We start from the raw sequence: 20,947 nt of genomic DNA on the forward strand, positions 1-20,947 counted from the left end.
GACTACAAGTGCGTGCCACCACAGGCTAATTTTTTCACTTTTAGTAGACACAGGGTCTCATCGTGTTGGCCAGGCTATTCTTGAACTCCTGGCCTCAGGAGATCCACCTGTCTTGGCCTCCCAAAGCGCTGGGAATACAGGCATGAGCCACAGTGCCTGGCCTTGTTTATGAGTTCTTACAGTCTTTTGTTGGAGTCTTTTTTAGGTCTTTCTATATACAAAATTATGTCATCTGCAAAGTGGACAATTTGACTTCTTTTTGCAAGTCAATTTGGATGTTTCTTATTTTTTTCTCTTCCCAGATTACTGATTAGGACTTTCATGTTCAATAAGATTTGTGAAAGTGAACATTCTTTTTTTGTTCTGTGTCTTAGAGAAAAAGCTTTCAGCTTTTGTCTGTTCAGTATATTGTTAGCTTTGGGTTTGTCACATATGACCTTTATAATTTTGCAGAATGATCTTTCTATGTCTAGTTTGTTGAGAGTTTTTAATATGAACAGATGTTAAATTTTATCAATTACTTTTTCTACATCTATTAACCTAGTTATATGGGTTTTGTTCTTCATTCTACTGAGGCAATGTATTCAGTGTATTGATATGTGTATGTGACCATCCTTGCATTTCGGTATAAATTTCACTTGATCATGGTGCATTACCTTTTGATGTGCTGTTGCATTTGGTTTGCTAGTATTTTATTAAAGATCATTGCATCTACGTTTTCTTACAGATATTGGCCTGTAGTTTTGTGTTGTTGGTGGCAGATCCTTGTCTGGTTTGGTATTGTGGCCTCACAAAATAAGTTTGGAAGCATTCCTTTCTCTTATGTGTTTTTGAAATAGTTTGAGGAGGATTGATGTTCATTCTTTTTTAATACATTTGGAAGAATTCAGCAGTTAATCGACCTGATCATGTCTCTTTTTTTTGTTGGGAGACATTTTATTACTGACTCAATTTCATTATTCATTCATCAGTTCAGTTTTTCTACTTCTGATTCAATTGGATAGGTTGTGTGTTTATAGAAATTCAATCATTTCCTCTATATTTTCCTGTTTGTTAGCATTTATAATATTCTCTGATTATCTTTGATATTTCTGTGATATCAATTGTAGTGTCTGTTCTTTTATTTTGCTGATTTGTTTCTTATCTCTTTTCTTGGTTAGTCAAGCTAGCAGTTTATCAATATTGGTTATATTTTTGAATAACATACTTATCACTTCATTGACCTTTGCATTTCTTTCCTTAGTCTATCTTTAGTTTTTCTCCAATCTTTATTATTTCTTTCATCCTGCAAATTTTGGGTTTGCTGTGTTCTTGCTTTTTCACTTCCTTGAGGTGCATTGTTAGATTGTTTATAAGAAATCTTTCTGCTTTCTGGTGTAGATGTTTATTGCTATAGCCTACCTGTTCTTAATGCTTTTGCTGTATAGTATAGATTTTGACATGTCGTGTTTTCATTTTTATTTCTTTCGATAGTTTAAAAAAATGTCCATCTTGAAAACCAAACACCGCATGTTCTCGCTCATAGGGTGTGATAGGTATACAGCTGTTGTTACCATGGTGATGGCCAGTGTCATGCAGAAGATTATACCTCGCTATTCTCTTGCTCAATGGCTACTCTGTAATGGCAGTTTGAGGTGGTATCAACATTCTACAGTAGAAGAATCAAGAATTCTTGCAGGGAATCAGCAAAAAGAGAAAAGCAAAAAAGATAGGAAATATAATGGTCACACTGAAAGTAAGCCATTAACCATTCCAAAGGATATTGACCTTCGTCTAGAAACAAAGTCAGTTACAGAAGTGGATACATTAGCATTGCATTACTTCCCAGAATACCAGTGACTGGTGGATTTCACAGTGGCTGCTACAGTCGTGTATCTAGTAACTGAAGTCGACTACAAGTTTATGAAGCCTACACAGGAAATAAATATCAGCTTAGTCTGGTGCCTGCTTGTTTCGTCTTTTGCAATCGAAGTTCTATTTTCATTAATTACACACTATTTTAAAGTAGAAGATGCTGGTGAAAGATCTGTTTGTGTCACCTTTGGATTTTTTTTCTTTGTCAAAGCAATGGCAGTGTTGATTGTAACAGAAAATTATCTGGAATTTGGACTTGAAACAGGGTTTACAAATTTTTCAGGCAGTGCGATGCAGTTTCTTGAAAAGCAAGGTTTAGAATCTCAGAGTCCTGTTTTAAAACTTACTTCCAAATTTTTTCCTGGCTATTTTCTGTTCACTCACTGGGGCTTTTTTCACATTTCCTGGATTACGGCTGGCTCAAATGCATCTGGATACCCTGAATTTGGCAACAGAAAAAATTACACAAACATTATTTCATATCAGCTTCTTGGCACATTTATTTATGGTTCTGCTCTGGGTAAAACCAGTCACCAAAGACTACATTATGAACCCAACCTTGGGTGAAGAAAGCATCACTTTAATGACAGAAGCCACATTTGGTACTCTGCAAATCTGGTTAATAATCCTGCTGTGTGCTTTGCGGTTGGCCATGATGCATAGTCACCTGCAAGCTTATTTAAATTTAGCCCAAAAATGTGTGGATCAGATGAAGAAAGAAGCAGGGTGAATAAGTACAGTTGAGCTACAGAAAATGGTGGCTTGAGTCTTTTATTATCTTTTTGTCATTGCACTGCAGTATGTGGTGCCTCTGGTAACACTGTTTCACACAACTCTGCTTTTGAAAACACTAGGTAATCATTCCTGGGGTATTTATCCAGAATCTGTCTCTACCTTACCAGTGGATAATAGTCTACTCTACAATTCTGTTTACTCTGAATTACCATCAGCTGAAGAGAAGATGAAGGTTACTGTTACACAAATAACAGTGGCACTGAGCAGCTTAAAAACATTTTTACACTTCTTGTTTTTTGAGGACTTCTGTCTTTTCTGACCTGGTAGATTGCTGCTTGCCTCTTTTCTACAAGCCTTTTTGGGCTTTTTTATCACCAGTATCTGACTGTGGCATGAATCTCAGTTAACAAAAAAGCATATCAAAATCACAGTTTAAATTCAAATATTTGTGCCCTTAAAGGGCTGACGAAAACCAGAAGAAAGCAAATACAATGGAAAAAAATCAGAATATCTTGTATTAAATGTTTCCTCTGTATTCTCAGGGTGAATTAATGTTAAAATTACAAAATAGATTGTTAACTGTTACACTGTGGCATTGGAATTTTAACTGTTGGTATTTACTGGTATGAGGGCTATCTACAAGGGTAATATTTCTGATTACCTTGGCTTACAGAAACCTCCAGCAGTCTTTGAAACATCTCACATGACTCCAGTTATTGATTGCTTTTAATGGTATTATGGTACTGCTGGTCGTCATAGTGGCTGCCTATAGAACAATCTTCAAACTGAGCCATGCTTTAGGGGAGAGAAAGGGGCTAAAGTCTCTTCTGTTGGTAATATATTAGTTACTCTTGAAACGATAAAATCCAACAGAAAGGAAGAGATAGCTACTGTATATTATAGTAAAGAAAGCTGCATAGTTATTTTAAATTTAGTGGAGATGAATATGGTTATTATCTACAACTACTGCTGCTTGAGAATGGCAAGAGTATTGTTTTAAAACATATTCTACCCACCTTGAGAGTTCTTTTAAAATGATTGGCCATATGAACACTTGTAATCTTGCCATTAGGCTTAGACCTGCCATATTTTTTTTATTCTATGATCCTAAATAGTTCCTTTTAATAGTCTAAAAATATTTATCAATACTGATCAGACTTTAAAGAAATTACTTTGTAAACTTGCTGACTACCTGTATGTATTGTACATCTATTATATATTAAATATATAATATATTGAGATTATAAAAGATGGAAATAGTGATTCCTTATAACATTTTAAGTTGCAGAATGTATGTTAAAAAGTGATTTGAATGAGATGTATTTGTATCTAGAAATTTTATTTCTTTTTGGAATGCGATTAAAATACATTTTGAAAGTTCAAAAAAAAAGTCCATCTTAACTATTAATGGTCATTTGGGATTATGTTATTTAATTTTCATGTATTCATATAGTTTCCAAAGATCCTCTTGGTGTAGGTTTTTACTTGTATTTTATGGTGGTTCGAGTTATTTGCAATATATATATATTTTTTACTTTGTTGTCGTTTATAGCCTATTGTGTTTTGTTTTATTTTATTTATTTATTTATTTATGTATTTATTTATTTTTTGAGACGGAGCCTTGCACTGTTGCCCAGGCTGGAGTGCAGTGGCGCAATCTCGGCTCACTGCAAGCTCCGCCTCCTGGGTTCACCCTGTTCTCCTGCCTCAGCCTCCTGAGTAGCTGGGACTACAGGCGCCCACCACCACGCCCCGCTAATTTTTTGTACCTTTAGTAGAGATGGGGTTTCACTGTGTTGGCCAGGATGGTCTCGATTTACTGACCTCGTGATCTGCCCGTCTCGGCCTCCCAAAGTGCTCGGGTTACAGGCGTGAGCCACACCGCTGGGGCAGCCTATTGTTTTTTAAATGTTGACATTTGTAGGCTGTATGGAGAATGTGCTAATAAAAAGAACGTTTATTCCGCCCTTGTTGGATAAAATGTTTTGTAAATAACTATTAAAATCATTTGGCCTAAATTCCAGTTTAAATCCAGTGTTTGTTTTTTGATTTACTGTTTTAATAATCTTTTTCATGCTGAGGTGGGGGTATTGAAGTCTCCCACAGTTATTGTATTGCAGTCTATTCCTCTTTTTAGATGTAGTAATATTTGCTTTATGAATCTGGGTATTCCAGTGTTTGCTGAATGTATATATTCAGAATTGTTATACTCTGTTGCTGGATTGATCACTTTATTATTATTTAATGAGTTTCTTTTCTTTTTCTAACTTAAATTCTGGTTTGTGTGATATAAGTATAGCTACTTCTGCTTACTTTTGGTTTCTTGTTGCATGAAATATCTTTTTTCATGCTTTTGCTTTCTCATCTATATTTGTCTTAATAGGTGAGGTGCATTTCTTGTAGGCAGCATGTAGTCAGACCATGTTTTCTAAATTCATTCACACAGTCTATTATTTTAAGTGAATAATATAATGCATTTACATTCAAGGTTGTCTTTGATATCTAAGGTAGTGTTTCTGTTATATTCTTAACTGTTTTATATATTCTTTGTTCCTTACTATTTCTCTGACTTTGTCATTGTTGTTAGTTTTTTTGTAGTGGTACCATGAATCCTTGCTCTTCCTTATTTGTGTATTTGCTTTACCAATGGGTTTTTTAATTTTATTTGTTTTCATGAAGGTTTTCCTTTTGCTTCCAATTTTAGAATTCATTTTATAAATAATTTTCATCTTAATTTCTTTGTTGACTTCACGGTCATTCATGTTATTTAAATTTCACTTATTTGTATAATTTCCAGAGTTTCTCTTGGTATTGATTTCTAGTTTTACTCCACTGTGGTCTGCGAAGATACTTAATCTGATTTCAGTATTTTAAAATTTGTTGAGACTTATTTTGTGGCCTAAAATATGGTCTGTCTTGGACAATAATCCATGTGCTGATGAGAAGAATATATATTCTGCAGTTGTTGAGTAGAATGTTCTGTAAATGTCTGTTAAGTCATTTGGTCTAAAGTCCCATTTTAGTCCAACGTTTATTTATTTATTTTCTATCTAGATAATTTGTCTAATGCTCTGAATGGTGTGTTGAATTTCCCAAGTATTATTGTATTTCTCCCTATCTCTCTGTTTATAACTAAATATAGGTTTTATAAATGTGGGTGATCCAGCATTTTGTAAATATATATTTGTAATTGGTGTAAGTTCTTAATGAATTGACCCCTTTATTATTATATAATAACCCTTTTGCATTTCCTTAACTGTTTTTGACTTAAGGTCTGATTTATCTGGTATAAGTGTAGCTTCTCCTTTTTGCTTTTAGTTTTCATTTGCATGGAGTATCTTTGTCCACTCCTTTACAGGTAACATGAGTTTCTCGTAAGCAGCATATAGCTCAAAATGTATTCAGCCAGTCTATATATTTTTAAATGAATATTTAATCCATTTACAATCAAGGAATGTAATTGATATGTAAGGTTTTGTTCCTGTCATGTTATTGTTTTCTAGTTAATTTATAAATTCTTTGAATTTTTCCTTTTCTTTGACTGTCGTTGTTTGGTGGAGTTTCTGTAGTGGAGTTTCTGTAGTAAAGTCCTGTGATTCGTTTCTCTTCCTCCTTCATGTGATTGCTTTACCAGTGAGTTTTATACTTTCATGTGTTTTCCTGGTTGTAAATGTTGTCTTTTTACTTCCATGTTTAGGAATGAGTTGAGCATTTCTTGTAGGGCCAGTCTAGTGGTGACAAATTTCTTTAGGATTTGCTTGCCTGGAAAAGATTCATATATACTTTATTTATGAAGTTTAGCCTTGCTGAATGTGGAATTCTTAGCTGACATTATTTTTTCTTTCAGCATTTTGAAAATGCCATTCCACTGTTTTCTGGCCTTTATGATTTCTGCTGAGAAATCCACTGTTAGTCTGATGGGGTCTCCTTCATAGGTGAGTAGATGTACTTCTCTTTCTGGTTTTAGAATCTATGCATTTACATTGATTTGAGACAGTCAGATTTTAATGTGCTGTGGTGAAGTCCTTTTTCACTGCATTTGTTAGGGAACACTGAGCCTTCCATATCTGAATGTCTAAATCTCTTGCTAAATGTGGAAAGATTTTATCTGTTATTTCATTAAATAGGTTCTCTAGGTCTTTTGAATTCTCATAACCCTTAAGAATACAATTCATAATTTGGTTTGTCCTATGGAGTCCCAAATGTCTCAAAGAGTTTCACTTATTTTAAAAATTTATTTTGCAAAATTTTGTCTTAATTATTTTAAAGGACCTACTTCAAGTCATGGAATTTTTTTCTTTTCCTTGGTATAGCCTATTTTTTAATGTTTTAAATGTGTTTTGTATTTCCTCCAATATATTTTTTTTCCTTCAGAATTTCTGGGTTTTCTTTTCTTTTCTTTTTTGAGATACCTATTTCCTTTCTCATTTGTACCTTGAATTGATTTTCTCACTTTCTTTTATTGGTTTTCAGATTTCCCATGCATCTCACTGAACTTCTTTAAACTTAATGTTTTGTAATTTTTAGGGGGTGATGAATATATTTATTATCATGATAGTGGTGATGGTTTCATGGGCATACATGTGTCAAAACTTAACCAAATTTTACACCATAAACAGGTGCAATTTATTGTATGGCAATTATACATCAATCAAAATGTTAAAATAGAGCCACAAAATCCTTTCGATTTCTCTCAATACGAGATGGATTATAATTCTCTTCCCCTGAGTGTGGGCTGGCCTTAGTGTATCATTTGACCATTAGAATATAGCAGATACTGGGACTTCTGAATGTAGGGCATAAGAGGCCTTGCATCTTTGGTACAGCTGTCTGGGAACACTCTGAAAGCCCTGAGCTGCCACATAAGAAGTCTGGCTACCTTGAGACTGTGATGCTAGAGAGGCCATGTGTAGATACTCCAGTTGAAGCTCCCAGCTGAGCCCAACCTTCTCCATCAAAGTGCCGGACATGTGAGTGACCAACCCAGCCCAGCCCAGATAACATCTGAATACCACAGGGTAACCTTTGTTACTATCATGTGGAAAAAAAAAATATTACCCCAATTGAGCCCTGTTTGAGTTTCTGACATCTGGAATTGTGAGATATATTATAATGAAATGCCTATTGTTTAAAGCCATTAGAAAGTTTTGGGGAAGTTTATTATGCAGCAGTAGATAACAAGAAATGAATTTGGCACATGGAAGTCGGAAGTGCTTTTTTAACAAAACTACGTGGCATTGAATTGGTACCGGGTAAGGGGCAGAAGCTGGAAGAGCCATGAAGAGACTGACAGTGAAGGGCTGAAGGACAATGAGGAAAATGTTATTAGAGCTGGAGAAGATATGACACATTATGTGGTGTAAGAAGTCTTGTGAACCTGCTGACTTTAAATAATATTTTTGAATTTTTCTCTGATATTTTGAGGACTTATTTTTGGTTAAGATCTTTCCTTGCCGGACACAGTGGCTCACGCCTGTAATCCCAGCACTTTGGGAGCCTGAGGCAGGTGGATCATGAGGTCAGGAGATCAAGACCATCCTGGCTAACATGATGAAAGCCCGCCTCTACTAAAAAAATACAAAGAAAATTAGCTGGCTGTGGTGGCGGGCGCCTGTAGTCCCAGCTACTCGGGAGGCTGAGGCAGGAGAATGGCGTGAACCTGGGAGGTGGAGCTTGCAGTGAGCCGAGATCGCACCACTGCACTCTGGCCTGGGAGACAGAGAGAGACTCCGTCTCAAAAAAAAAAAAAAACTTTTGTTAAGGAAATATTATATTCCTTTAGGGATGTCATATGTCCTTGCTTTCTTATGTTTCTTATGTCTGTACATTGATTTCTGTGCATCTGATGTAAAAGTCACTTTTTATTTTTGAATTTACTTTCTTTGAGGGTGAGGATTTTTTTCCTGAAGATGTGACTATAATGTTGGTTGGGTAGGGTTTGTTGGCTTTGCATTCAATCATGAAGTCTCTGTGTGATTTCTTTGGCTGTAAATATCATTAGTGGTATCTGTGGTTTCCTCAGTGCATTACAGTGTGGTTATTGCTAGGGGCTACAGTGAAGTTGTGATGGCTACACTGAAGTGCTGTATGGGCCCATCTCTAGGTTTCAGTGGTAGTGTTGGTGAACTAAGCTTATCTATCCTTTTGACCTATAGTGACATATGCTGGCACCTGTGTTGGTGACTCCAGGCAGGCCACCAGCAGGGTAGCTTACTCAGATGCCAGTTGTAATTGTAGCATACCGGGAGGGCAAATGGACTCTCAAACTTCTGGACAGCCATGGTGGCATGGGCAATGTAGGTAGAAGAAGTGGCGAAATGCTCTTCCAAGTCTCAAGTGCTCTTCTGAGTCCCAATTGTGTTGGCAATGGTTGCAATGGGCTGTGTATGCCAGTGTCTAGGCCAGTTGTTGGCACTTGCAGGTAAAAGCCAGCTGTGATGGAAGCAGTGTGTGGTTTATGCCCAACTTCGGTGCCCCCAAAAGACACAATTTGTTGTCCCAGGTGGTGGATTAGATTGGGGAACCTCCCCAGGACCCTGGATCCTGCACTTTGTCCTAAGGAAGGGGTGATACTGGATGGAGCTGAATTACACTCAGGTTCCCCCAGTGGTGAGTGCCTGCACAGATGTATTTGATAGGAGTTAGGCAATCCTCAGGGGGCTGGTGAAATGCTTGGGTGAGGGGCAACTGTCACTGCTCTGGGGTCCTGCCACAGGGACGGGGGTGGTGGTCTCAGCATCCACAACTTTGACTGGTGACTGGTGGTTGGGTAAATTTATCCCTCTCATGCCCAGCCCCACTGGGGCTTGCTCCCTCCTCCCACCTGTCACAGACAACCTGGCTATTCTGTCAGACCTGAGAAATTTATGCTGTTCTTTAGTTCAACCCTGGTTCATAGGAACTCCTCCACAGCTCAAGACCAAGCCACTGTGACAGCTGTCACCCTGCTCAAGTCCTTGGGATAATGACCACTTTCAGTGCTGTTGGCTGCAGTCCATGTCATGCTTGCTTCTCAGTCTTGGTTGTGTTAGCCCACTCCCTGCTCATGCCCCAGTTCCATGAGCAGCAGCTTGAGTTTCCTTAATGACTAGGAATGTCAACAACCCTGATAACTAGGACCATGAACAGTCTGTTAAGAGCTAAGATTAAAAATGGCATCTTGCTATAGCTTCTTAGGCTATAGGAAGTGTGTGGAACCAAGGGCATGTTCCCTCCCTTGAGTGGTTTCTTCTCTCAGTCACCTGATTCAGGGTCACCCTTTGCTAGATTCAGGGAATGGGAGGGTCAAAGTGCTCTCCCATGATCTAGATTTTATGATTCCCCGGTGAGAAAATGGACCAGAGAAAAGCTGTTGCTTACTTTCTCCTATATTATAGAGTCACTCCTGATTTCCAGCCAGTCTTGGCCACACAGGCTGCCTGTTTTTCTTTTCCTTTCTAGTTTTTGCCATTTCCTGTCACTTTTCTGTTGAACTCTTGCATTCTCTCTTGGATAATGTACTGAATGTATGATTGTCTATATACTATTATGGTACTAAATGGATGCAGCTGGCTTGAAATGCTCCTAGTCAGCCATCTTCAAAAAAATTTGTACAGATGTTGAATCATGCAAACTTGCTGAACTCATTTATTCGTTCTAGTGGGTTTTTCAAAATTCCTTAGAAATTTTTATTTGCATGATACTGTAAAGTTTCCAATCCCCAGGTGGAGGCCATTGATTATTTTTGTTGCATGATATCTTTCACTAAGACCTTCAGTATAATGTTGAATAGAAGTGGTAGAAACAGATATTCTTGTCTTGTTTCTAAAGTAACTTTCCCAAACTATAATAATACTTTCCCAAAGTATTATTATACTTTATTTTCTAGGGTACATGTGCACAAAGTGCAGGTTTGTTACATAGGTATACATGTGCCACATTGGTTTGCTGCATCCATCTCGTCACTCACTTAGGTATTTCTCCTAATGCTATCCCTCCCCCAGCCCCCACCCCCCAACAGGCCACAGCATGTGATGTTTCCCTCCCCTGTGTCCATGTGTTCTCATTGTTCAGCTCCCACTTATGAGTGAGAACATGTGGTGTTTGATTTTCTCTCCTTGTGATATTTTGCTGAGAATGATGCTTTCCAGCTTCATTCATGTCCCTGCAAAAGACATGAAATCATCCTTTTTATGGCTGCATAGTATTCCATGGTGTATATGTGCCACATTTTCTTTATCCTGTCTATTATTGATGGACATTTGGGTTAGTTATCAATTCTAATCCGTGATATCATGCTGTTTTCTTGTCCTGCCTCAGCACCAATGACCTGAAGAGCCTTGTTGAAGGAAGACTCCATCTGATGACTCAGAGCAAGTATTTTTTAGTGTGTTATTGTTATTAGCAGAAAGAGGGCCATAAAATACATGGGGCAAGCTGAATATATCTTAGGCAAAAGAAGAAAATATTCAAATTCTTATGTTATTTTATCTAATTATTTTATCTCTTTTTGTGTGTGACTTATAATGTGTGTATTGTATTAATAAAAGTATATAAACATGTAGTTTACAAATAGTTGCCAATGTTATTAGTGCATATCCAAGTATTATATTACTGGAAGTATAATCCTGAAAATATAGAGACCATTAAGCTCTTAAGTCAATAGTATCCTGATGCTTTTCCTGGTTCCATCATGATAGCTGAGGAAAATTGTGCTGAGGGTGCAGAGAGATGCTAAAGAACTATCAGTTATTGGTTCTGGCAGTAAGATAAATGTTTCTTTACTAACTTACGCTCTTGGACAAAGATAACAATTTTAACTATAAAATGTGTTTCTTATAAACTCATAGATATCAGGAGGTTGTAGAGCAATGTTCTACAGTATAGTCATAATTGATCTTGACATATCATTGGACCCACTTTTATCTCAAAAGAAACTGATTAATTGTGGTAGTTTTTCATTTTTTTGTGATGTAAGGGTAAATTGTTCGAGTCACTGGATTAAATAGATTTTATAGCACAACGATGCCTACATCCTGGCAAATAACATTAGTAGCTGCAAAATTGTTCAGTGAAATCATGCAAGGTGTTCTGATGTTGTGGATTTCCTGAGACAACTTGAGGAAAATTATATTTTAAATTGGAGACCAAAGTATTGTTCAAGGCGTAAGAGGGGATTCCTGTATTAAGTGGGATCTCAAAAAAAAATCATGATGTGATCATTTTGATGCAACTTTATGGTTTTTATAAACTTATTGCAAGTAGTGTTTACTCTCTTTAAAAGTCAGTGATGGATATCAGAAATATGCTGATGTGTTGAAATGAATTTAGATAAAGAATCTCTTAGATGGAAACTAAACTGGGAAAAACCCAGCACCATTTTTATGTGGTACAGCTGAGGGTTTTGGTAAGCACAATAATGCCCTCCAAAGATGTTTATGTTCTACTTCTCAGATATTGGGAATATATTATGTTTCATGGCAATGGGCATACAAAGTTATACATAGGATCAAGATTGCTAATCTTCTGATGAAAAATAGGGATATTATAATGAATTATAATGGTGAATTCAGTGTAGTAACTAGGGTCCAGAAATGTGAAAGAGATATAGAGAATGTAAAATGTCAAAATGATGGCATCTTAGAAAGACAACCAGATAATGTTTTTTTCAACTGTTTGCTTTGGTAATTTTCTCCATATTAGCTTAAAATTCCACCAAGTTCCCATAAACTGTATACATAAAATTGGATAATTTTATGTTAACAGCATCAATATAAAGTGAGAGAATATAGAACAAAAGTATAATGTCTAAAAGGGGAGGCCCAGGTACAATTAGAGTATAGATAGTGTACATTTTATAAGGTCATAATTGTGGATGGCTTGGTGAGACAAATATTAATACATGTATGTTTTACTAATAATATTTATTAAATTATTACGTACACAATTTGGTATAGAAAATAATGTAGAGACTGAATTATCAAGAAGTCATATGAGATAGTCTGGGTTTATCAAGGGTAAGAGGATAGTATAAAAATGAAGATGATTTGTGAGGATATTAACTACTAAGTAATAAACACTGATGATATGAAGTCTTTCTTTTCCAGATATACAAAATAGGTTTTCTCTTTGCCATTTGGAAGAACCCACTTTCCACTTATGTTATCATTAAAAGATCCCTTTTATTTCCAAGCTGGCACTGGGGTCCGCCAGCACTTTCTTGTTTTTTTTTTTTTTTTCTCCACATCTTCACATTCTTTCTGAATAACAAGCCTAAGTCCCCATGACCTGATCACCTGTCAGGTGATCACCTTGGCCATCACCTTGGCCTTTATTCACCTAGTGATGCTTCTCATAGTAATGGATTTGTTGTCTCCAGATGTATTTGAGTCACTGCATTTTTGGAATGACTTCAGATGTAAAGTGTAATTCTACCTGAGCAGAGTGACAAGGGGCCTCTCCATCTGCACCTCCTGCCTCCTGAGTACTCTCCAGGCCATCACCATCAATCCTAGCACCTCCTGGTTGGCAAGAGTTAAACATAAATCCACAAATTACATTATCCATGTTTTCTTCTCTTTTTGGTTCCTCAATTTATTTTCCAGAAGTAACATGATCATGTACACCGTAGCTTATTTCAAGTGACACAGACCAGGCAACTGACAAATACCGACAAGTAAATATTGTTCATTTTCCTAGGTAATCTCTATAATCAAGGGGACTGATTTTTATTCTGGAATTTTCCCCAAATGTTTTCTTTGTAGAAATTATGTTGCTCTCAATTGTGTGCATGGTAGTACTCTTGTTTAACCATCAGAGGTGATCCCATCACCTTCACAGCCCCAGCCTCTGCTCCAGTCCCTCCCCAGCGAAAAGGGCCGCCCATGCCATCCTGCTGCTGGTGATTTGCTTTGTGGTCATGGACTCAGTGGACATCATTATTTTATTAACCGTGTGGTAGGTTTTTAACTCAGTTATCCTGGATATCCAAAGGTTTGTGGTCCATCTTTAGGCTTCCGTTTGTTCTTTGGTACAGATCAGTGTGTCCTTTGGTACAAATCAATTGATAAAGGAATAATCAATGTTCTGCAAAAAATAAATTCAAAGAGGCATCATTTTTAATAAGATCATAACAGAAAAATAATCCTCTGAAAAAACAGATTTTTCCTTCAACAGTTAAATTACTGAAGGTAGCACAGGATTTTCATCTGACTTAAGTACAATGTGTAAAATTGTAATTTCATATCTAAATATTTTTGAATTTCATGCTACCAAGAATTATTTGGTTTCTTTAGTTCAAAGTCCACCAGATTTTGATCTTCCCAAATCAAGTCTCTTACTCTTTAATTTTTAACTGTATTCACAAAAAGCATTTCTTTCTTCTTGAAGTGTACTCTTAAGAAGCTCCTATTTGTAACCAAAAAACATAGTGTTTTTTCTTTTGAAAGTATTTTAGTCTTTTTTTGACTAAGGCATTTTAGCTAAGTATCTAATTGTTGCTTTAATGATATTTTACTCACCTCTATTAGTATTCATTTCTCTGTTTTTGGCTCCACAAGAGCTGTGGAATTTTTCTCTCATCTTTGCAAGTTATGTATTTTTCTCTTGCTGATTTTTAGTGTTTTCCTCATTTTTGGTGTTATACAGATTATGATTTCTTTTATGTATTATTTATTTTTTTCTTTTTTGGACACACAATTTCTGAATTCAAGGATTCATGTTTTCAATTGTAGAAACTTATATTTATATTACGAATTCTTTGACTATCGCTGTTCTCTCTTCTTCTTTTTTTTTTGAGACACAGTCTTGCTCTGTTGCCCAGACTGGAGTGCAGTAGTGCAATCCCGGCTCACTGCAAGCTCCACCTGCCGGGTTCACGCCATTCTCCTGCCTCAGCCTCCCAAGTAGCTGGGACTACAGGTGCCTGCCACCACGCCCAGCTAATTTTTTGTATATTTTTTAGTAGAGACGGGGTTTCACCATGGTCTCAATCTCCTGACCTCGTGATCTGCCAGCCTTGGCCTCCCAAAGTGTATTCTCTTTTTATTATTATTATTATTTTTGAGATGGAGTCTGTCTCTGTCGCCCAGGCTGGAGTGCAGTGGTGCGATCTCTGCTCACTGCAAGCTCCGCCTCCTGGGTTCATGCCATTCTCCTGCCTCAGCCTCCCGAGTAGCTGGGACTACAGGCCCCTGCCACCACACCCGGCTAATTTTTTGTATTTTTAGTAGAGACAGGGTTTCACCATGTTAGCCAGGGTGGTCTCTATCTTCTGACCTCGTGATCCACCTGCCTCAGTCTCTCAAAGTGCTGGGATTACAGGCGTGAGCCACCGCGACCAGCCAACTATTGCTGTTTATTTTTAAATATATTTTAAAGAAACAATTAGATTTGTTTTCTTTCTCATTCTTTTACTTCTACTCTTCATGTATGTATAATTATATTTGTGTTTTCTATTACCTTTTCTCCTTTTACTGTATTGGACTATAATAATTGTGCTCACTAATTTCTGTTCACTAATATTATCAGCTTAGATAATACTTTAATTTTTAACTTATATATTGAGTATTAAATTGATCAGTTTTATTTGTAATTATCTATCTTCCGCTTGGCTGAATATAACTTCTTAAGCTTATAACTTCTTGTTCTTTCCATGTTATTTTTTTCTTTTTTTTAATGTATTGAATTTCTTCTGACACTCATTCTAGTAACTTTTTTCTCGGTGTGCAACGTAAGTTATAATTTGTTTCTCAGATTTGAGATCTGCCATAAGTTTGAGGCTTTATTTTTTTTTTTTATTTGCTTTATGGCAAGTCGGACAACCTGCATGGATTTGGCATCAATGTAGTCACCCATATCTAAGAGCAGCACTTGCTTCTTAGCATGATGAGTTGTTTCTGGATTGTTTCTTTATTTTACTTATATTCCTGGTAGATTCTTATATTTTCCCTTCAACTCTATTCAGCATTTTAGGAATTCTTAGGACTTTCTGAGAATTTTAGCTTTCTGTATTAAATGTTTTTAATGAGTATTGCATTTTCTCAAAAAGCACAAATATCAATAGTGTACACATGAGGAAAACTATATATATATTCTGTTGCAGATGACAGCATCTCATAACAAAATCCTAGTTACTTCATTTAAAAGACAGCTCTCCTCCAATATACTATGAGGTAACAAAAATTTGTAGTGTGTAATTTTTTTAATATTAGAAAACTCATCTTACATTGTGCACAAATTTCTGAAGTGATAATACTTCACTGTTTTTCTATAGAAGTAACTTAATATTGGCAAAATTACTTATTTGAATTTAGGTTTTGGCTTTCATCATATACTTCCTCATTAACATTTCCCTCAATCCATAAATGCAATCTCAGTTTGAATCTTCCATTTAACCCAGAAGTTAATTTTTAAAACCTTAATAAAATTTGAATGTAGCTAGATATTATTTGTTGGTTACATATTAGTCAATAATTTATATTACTTACAATGATCAGAAAATATGATCTGAATTTCTGCTGTCATAAATTCAATAACGTATTTTAGGCCTAAACCTTTCCATTTCAAATCCTTGGGTCTGGTAATTGAAAATAATCATTATCTTTTGTTTTCTGGCCAAAAATGCTGCCCATTTATTTCTATCCCTAATTAGTCAAACTTTCTAATAAATGTATTTAACGTTAATGATGTTTATTTGCTTGTTGTATACTAAAACCATTAGTTTCTATAATTTAAATGTCACCTAATATGAGTGAAAATGTGTCAGAGGCTGGGGAAGAATGTGGATGGAGAAAGGGAAGGTGTTGATCAAAAAGTACCCAAGTTTCAGTTACACAGGAGGCATGAGATTGATCTAGTGCAAAAAATGATGAGTATAATAAATAATAATGCACTGTATATTTTGAAATTGCTAAAAGTAGATTTAAAATTGATTTACATAATATTTTACATATTTATAAAGCACATGCAATATGTTGTTACATGTATAGAATGTGCAACGATCAAGTCAGGGTATCTGTGGTATCCACCACTTTGAGCATTTATCGATTCTATATGTCAGGAACATTTCAAGTTATCTGTTCTAGCAAGGAAATATAAAATACATTATAGTTAACTATGGCCTATCTACAGTGCAACTAAACACTAGATTTTATTCCTTTCCAACTGTGGGTTTGTATTCATTTACCACCCTCTTTTCATTCCCTTTCTCACCCACACACTGTGCCGGGCCTCAGGCATATACTATTCTACTGTCTGTCTCTGTAAGGATTATCATTTTAGCTTCCACATATGAGAGAATGCATGCAAAGTTTTTCTTTCCATGTCTGGCTTATTTCACTTAACAAAATGACCTCCGCTTCCATCCATGTTATTTATATTACCCAATAGTGTTCATAAATATATATACACACATATATACCACATTGCATTTGTCCAATTATTCATTGACGGAAACTGGTTAATGTTATATCGTTGCTATTGTGAATAGTGCTGCAATAAACACGCAAGTGGGGATATAATTTGAAGAGTTTTTTTGTTGATGTTCCATACAAATTTTAAGATTGTTTTGTCTATGTTTGTGAAAATGGCGTTAGTATTTTCATAGAGATTGCATTGAATCTGTAGATTGCTTTGGGTAAGTATGGTTATTTTGATGGTATTAATTTTTTCATTCCATGAAGATGAGATGTCTTTCCATTTGTTTGTGTCCTCTACATTTTCTTTCATCAAAGTTTTGTTGTATTTTTGAAGTAGATGTATTTCACCTTATAGATCAAGTGTATTCCCTAAATATTTTATTTTTGTAGCTATTGTAGATGAAATTGCCTTCTCGATTTCTTTTTCACTTAATTCATTATTAGTGTATGGAAATGTTATGGATTTTTATTTGTTGGTTTTTAATCAAAAACTGTATTAAACTTAGAGTTTTTTGTGGAGTTTTTAAGTTTTTCTAGATATAAGATCATGACATCTACCAAAAAAAAAAAAAAGACAATTTGACTTTGTTTTTATGAATGAATTTTATTTCTTTCCGTTGTGGGAAGTCAGGGACTCCGAACAGAGGAACCAGCTGAAGCCACGGCAGAACAACATAAATTGTGAAGATTTCATGGACATTTATTAGTTCCCCAAATTAATACTTTTATAATTTCTTACTCCTGTCTTTACTGCAGTCTCTGAACATAAATTGTGAAGATTTCATGGACATTTATCACTTCCCCAATCAATACTCTTACAATTTCCTATGCCTGTTTTTACTTTAATCTCTTAATCCTGTCATCTTCATAAGCTGAGGATTTTGTCACCTCAGGACCCTGTGATGATTGTGTTATCTGCAAAAATTGTTTATAAAGCATGTGTGTTTGAACAATATGAAATCTGAGCACCTTAAAAAGAACAGGATAACAGTGATTTTCAGGGAACCAGGGAGATAACCATACAGTCTGACTGCCTGTGGGGCCAGACAGAACTGAGTCATATTTCTCTTCTTTCAGAAAGCGAACAGGAGAAATATCGCTGAATTCTTTTCTCAGCAAGGAATAACCCTGGAAAAAGGAAGGAATGCATTCCCAGGAGGAGGTCTCTAAAATGGCCACTCTAGGATTGTCTGTCTTATGCAGTTGCAGATAAGGGATGAAATACTCCCTGGTCTCCTGCAGCACCCCCAGGCTTGTTAGGATTGGGAAATTCCAGCCTGGTGAAATTCTAGTCAGACCGGTTCTCTGCTCTTGAGCCCTGTTTCCTGTTAAGATATTTATCCATGAAAATGTGTGCCCAGAAGGTCATCGACCTTCATCAGTAATTCTAGTTTCCCCCAGTCTTGTGATCTCACTCTGCCTCTCTGCTGTTGTGATATTTTATTGCCTTTCAAACATGTGATCTCTGTGACCCACTCCCTATTCATACACCCCTCCCCTTTTGAAACCCCTAATAAAAACTTGATGGTTTTGTGGCTCAAGGGGCATCATGGAAACTGCCAACATGTGATGTGTCCCCCGGACACCCAGCTTTAAAATTTCTCTCTTTTGTACTCTTCTCTTTATTTCTCAGACCGGCCAACACTTAGGGGAAATAAAAAAGGACCTACATTGAAATATTGGGGGCTGGATCCCCTGATATCTTTCTCTTACCTGATAGCTCTGGCCAGAACTTCTAGTACTACAATGAATAGGAGTAGTGAAAATGGGTGTCCTTGTCTTGTTCCCGTGCTTAGAGGAAAGGCTGTGAGCTTTTCACCATTCAGCATAGTATTAGCTGTGACTTTGATTATATGACCTTTATTATGTTGAGGTATGTTTCTTCTATGATATGCCTAGTTGGCTGAGATTTTTTTATTGTGAAGACCTGTTGAATTTTATCAAATGCATTTTCTGTATTGTTTGAAATAATTATATGATTTTTGCCCTTCATTTTGTTGATGCGATGTAAAATGTGTATTGGTTTACCTATGTTGAACCATCATTGCGTCCCAGAGATAGATCCCACTTGATCATACTGTATTATTATTTTTGATATGCTACTGAATTTGGTTTTCTAGTATTTTTTGAGAATTTTTGTGTCTGTGTATATCAGGAATATTGGCCTGTAGTTCCTTTCAGTCTTGTGTTCTTGTCTGATTTTGATATCAAGGTAATGCTGGCCTAATAATATGAGTTACAGAGAATTTCTTCCTTTTAACTTTAATGTTTTGATATGGTTTGAGGAGAACTGGTGTTAGCTTTCTTTGAAAGTTTGGTAGAATTTGGCAGTGAAGCCATCCAGGCCTGGACTTTTCTTTGTTGGGAGACTTCTTATTACTGACTCAATCTCATTACTCATTATCAGTCTACTCAGGTGTTCTATTTTTTGTTGATTTTAATCTTGGTAGGTTGCATTCGTCCAGGAATTTACTCATTTCCTCTAGGTTTTTCTGGTTTGTTAGTGTATAGTTGTTCATAATAATCTCTGATAACCTTTTGTATTTCTGTGATATCAGTCATAATGGTTTTTTTATTTCAGATTTTGTTTATTTGGATTTTCTTTCTTTTTTGCTTGATAGCCTAGCAAGTTGTCAATTTTGCTTATCTTTTTAAAAATCCAATTTATGTGGAGTTGATTGTATTGCGTGTTTAGTTTGTATTTTGTTTAGTTCTGCTCTGATCTTTATTATTTTTTTCCTTCCATTGATTTTGGGTTTGGTTCATTTAAAACATTACATTCTTTATTAGAATGCTTTCTACTTTTTTTGAGATAGTTTGTTGCTATAAACTTCTCTCTTAGCACTCTTTTTGCAGTATTCCATTAGTTTTGGTACATTGTGTTTCGATTTTTGTTTGTCTCAACAATTTTAAAAAATATCTTTCTTAATTGTTATCTTGACCCAATGGTCATTCCAGAGCATGTTGTTTAACCTCCATGTATTTGTACAGTTTGCAAAGTTTCTCATGTTTTTGAAGTCTCATTTTATTTCATTGTGGCCTGAAAACATATTTGATATGGTTTTGACTATTAAAAATTTATTGAGACTTGTTTTGTGTCCTGACATATGATCTGTCTTGGAGAATGTTTAATGTGCTTGTAAGAAAAATATGCTTCTGTCATTGTTGGATGAGGTGTTCTGTAAATGTCTGTTAGATCCATTTGGTCTAATTTGCAGTTTAAATTTAATGTTACTTAATATTCTGTGTAAGTGGTATGTCTAATGATGAAAGGGTGGTATTGAAGTTTTCAATTATTATGTGTTGAAGTCTATCTCTCTCTTTAGATCTAATAATATTTCCTTTATATATTTGAATGGTCGCTGTTAAGTGCCCGTATATTTAAAACGGTTAAATTCTCTTGCTGAATTCATTCCTTTATCATTGCATAATGTCCTTCTTTGTCTTCTTTTACTGGTTTTGAATTAAAGTCTATCTTATGTTACGTAAGTATAATTACTTCTGCATGCTTTTCGTTTCTGCTCATAAGAAACGTTTTTTCAAACCCTGTCCTAGGGATGTCAGATATTTTTAGTTATTTTGTACTTTTCTGAAAATCGTAGCTGCCTGCCTTAAGACTTTTTAAAATATATATTTTACCAAAAAGTGCAAGCATCAATTCATTACTACTCATGAAAACATTTCACATGTATTTATTTTTGTGGCACATCAGCATCTCTTGAGAAATCCCAAGTAGAACACACCCCCATTTCCCAATATATCATAAGACAAAAATAATTTATGGACTATATTTTTATATTAAAAATCTAATTTTATGTTACACAAATTGCTGGAATATTAATACTCTACTACAAAGAATAATACCTATAGGTGGCCAGAAATTACTGTTTTTTCTATAGCATTAAGCTAATATTGGCAGAATTATCATTTTGTATTAAGCTTTTTGGCTGCAATCACAATGT

General features: G+C 35.6%; 1 long non-coding RNA gene and 2 pseudogenes across 1 annotated transcript in view; all 3 read left to right on the forward strand.

Moving 5' to 3' along the window:
• Positions 1 to 11,140, forward strand: part of LINC00993 (long intergenic non-protein coding RNA 993) — a 37,844-nt gene extending 26,704 nt beyond the window's left edge. Inside the window, exons 4-5 of the long non-coding RNA NR_104061.1 lie at positions 6,437 to 6,524; positions 10,888 to 11,140. This is a non-coding gene — a long non-coding RNA (long intergenic non-protein coding RNA 993). The remainder of the gene's footprint in view (positions 1 to 6,436; positions 6,525 to 10,887) is intronic.
• On the forward strand, positions 1,525 to 3,882 carry TMEM161BP1 (transmembrane protein 161B pseudogene 1; annotated as a pseudogene).
• On the forward strand, positions 12,727 to 13,579 carry VN1R53P (vomeronasal 1 receptor 53 pseudogene; annotated as a pseudogene).

This window comes from Homo sapiens, chromosome 10 (assembly GCF_000001405.40).
Source record: "Homo sapiens chromosome 10, GRCh38.p14 Primary Assembly".
Lineage (NCBI taxonomy): Eukaryota > Metazoa > Chordata > Mammalia > Primates > Hominidae > Homo > Homo sapiens.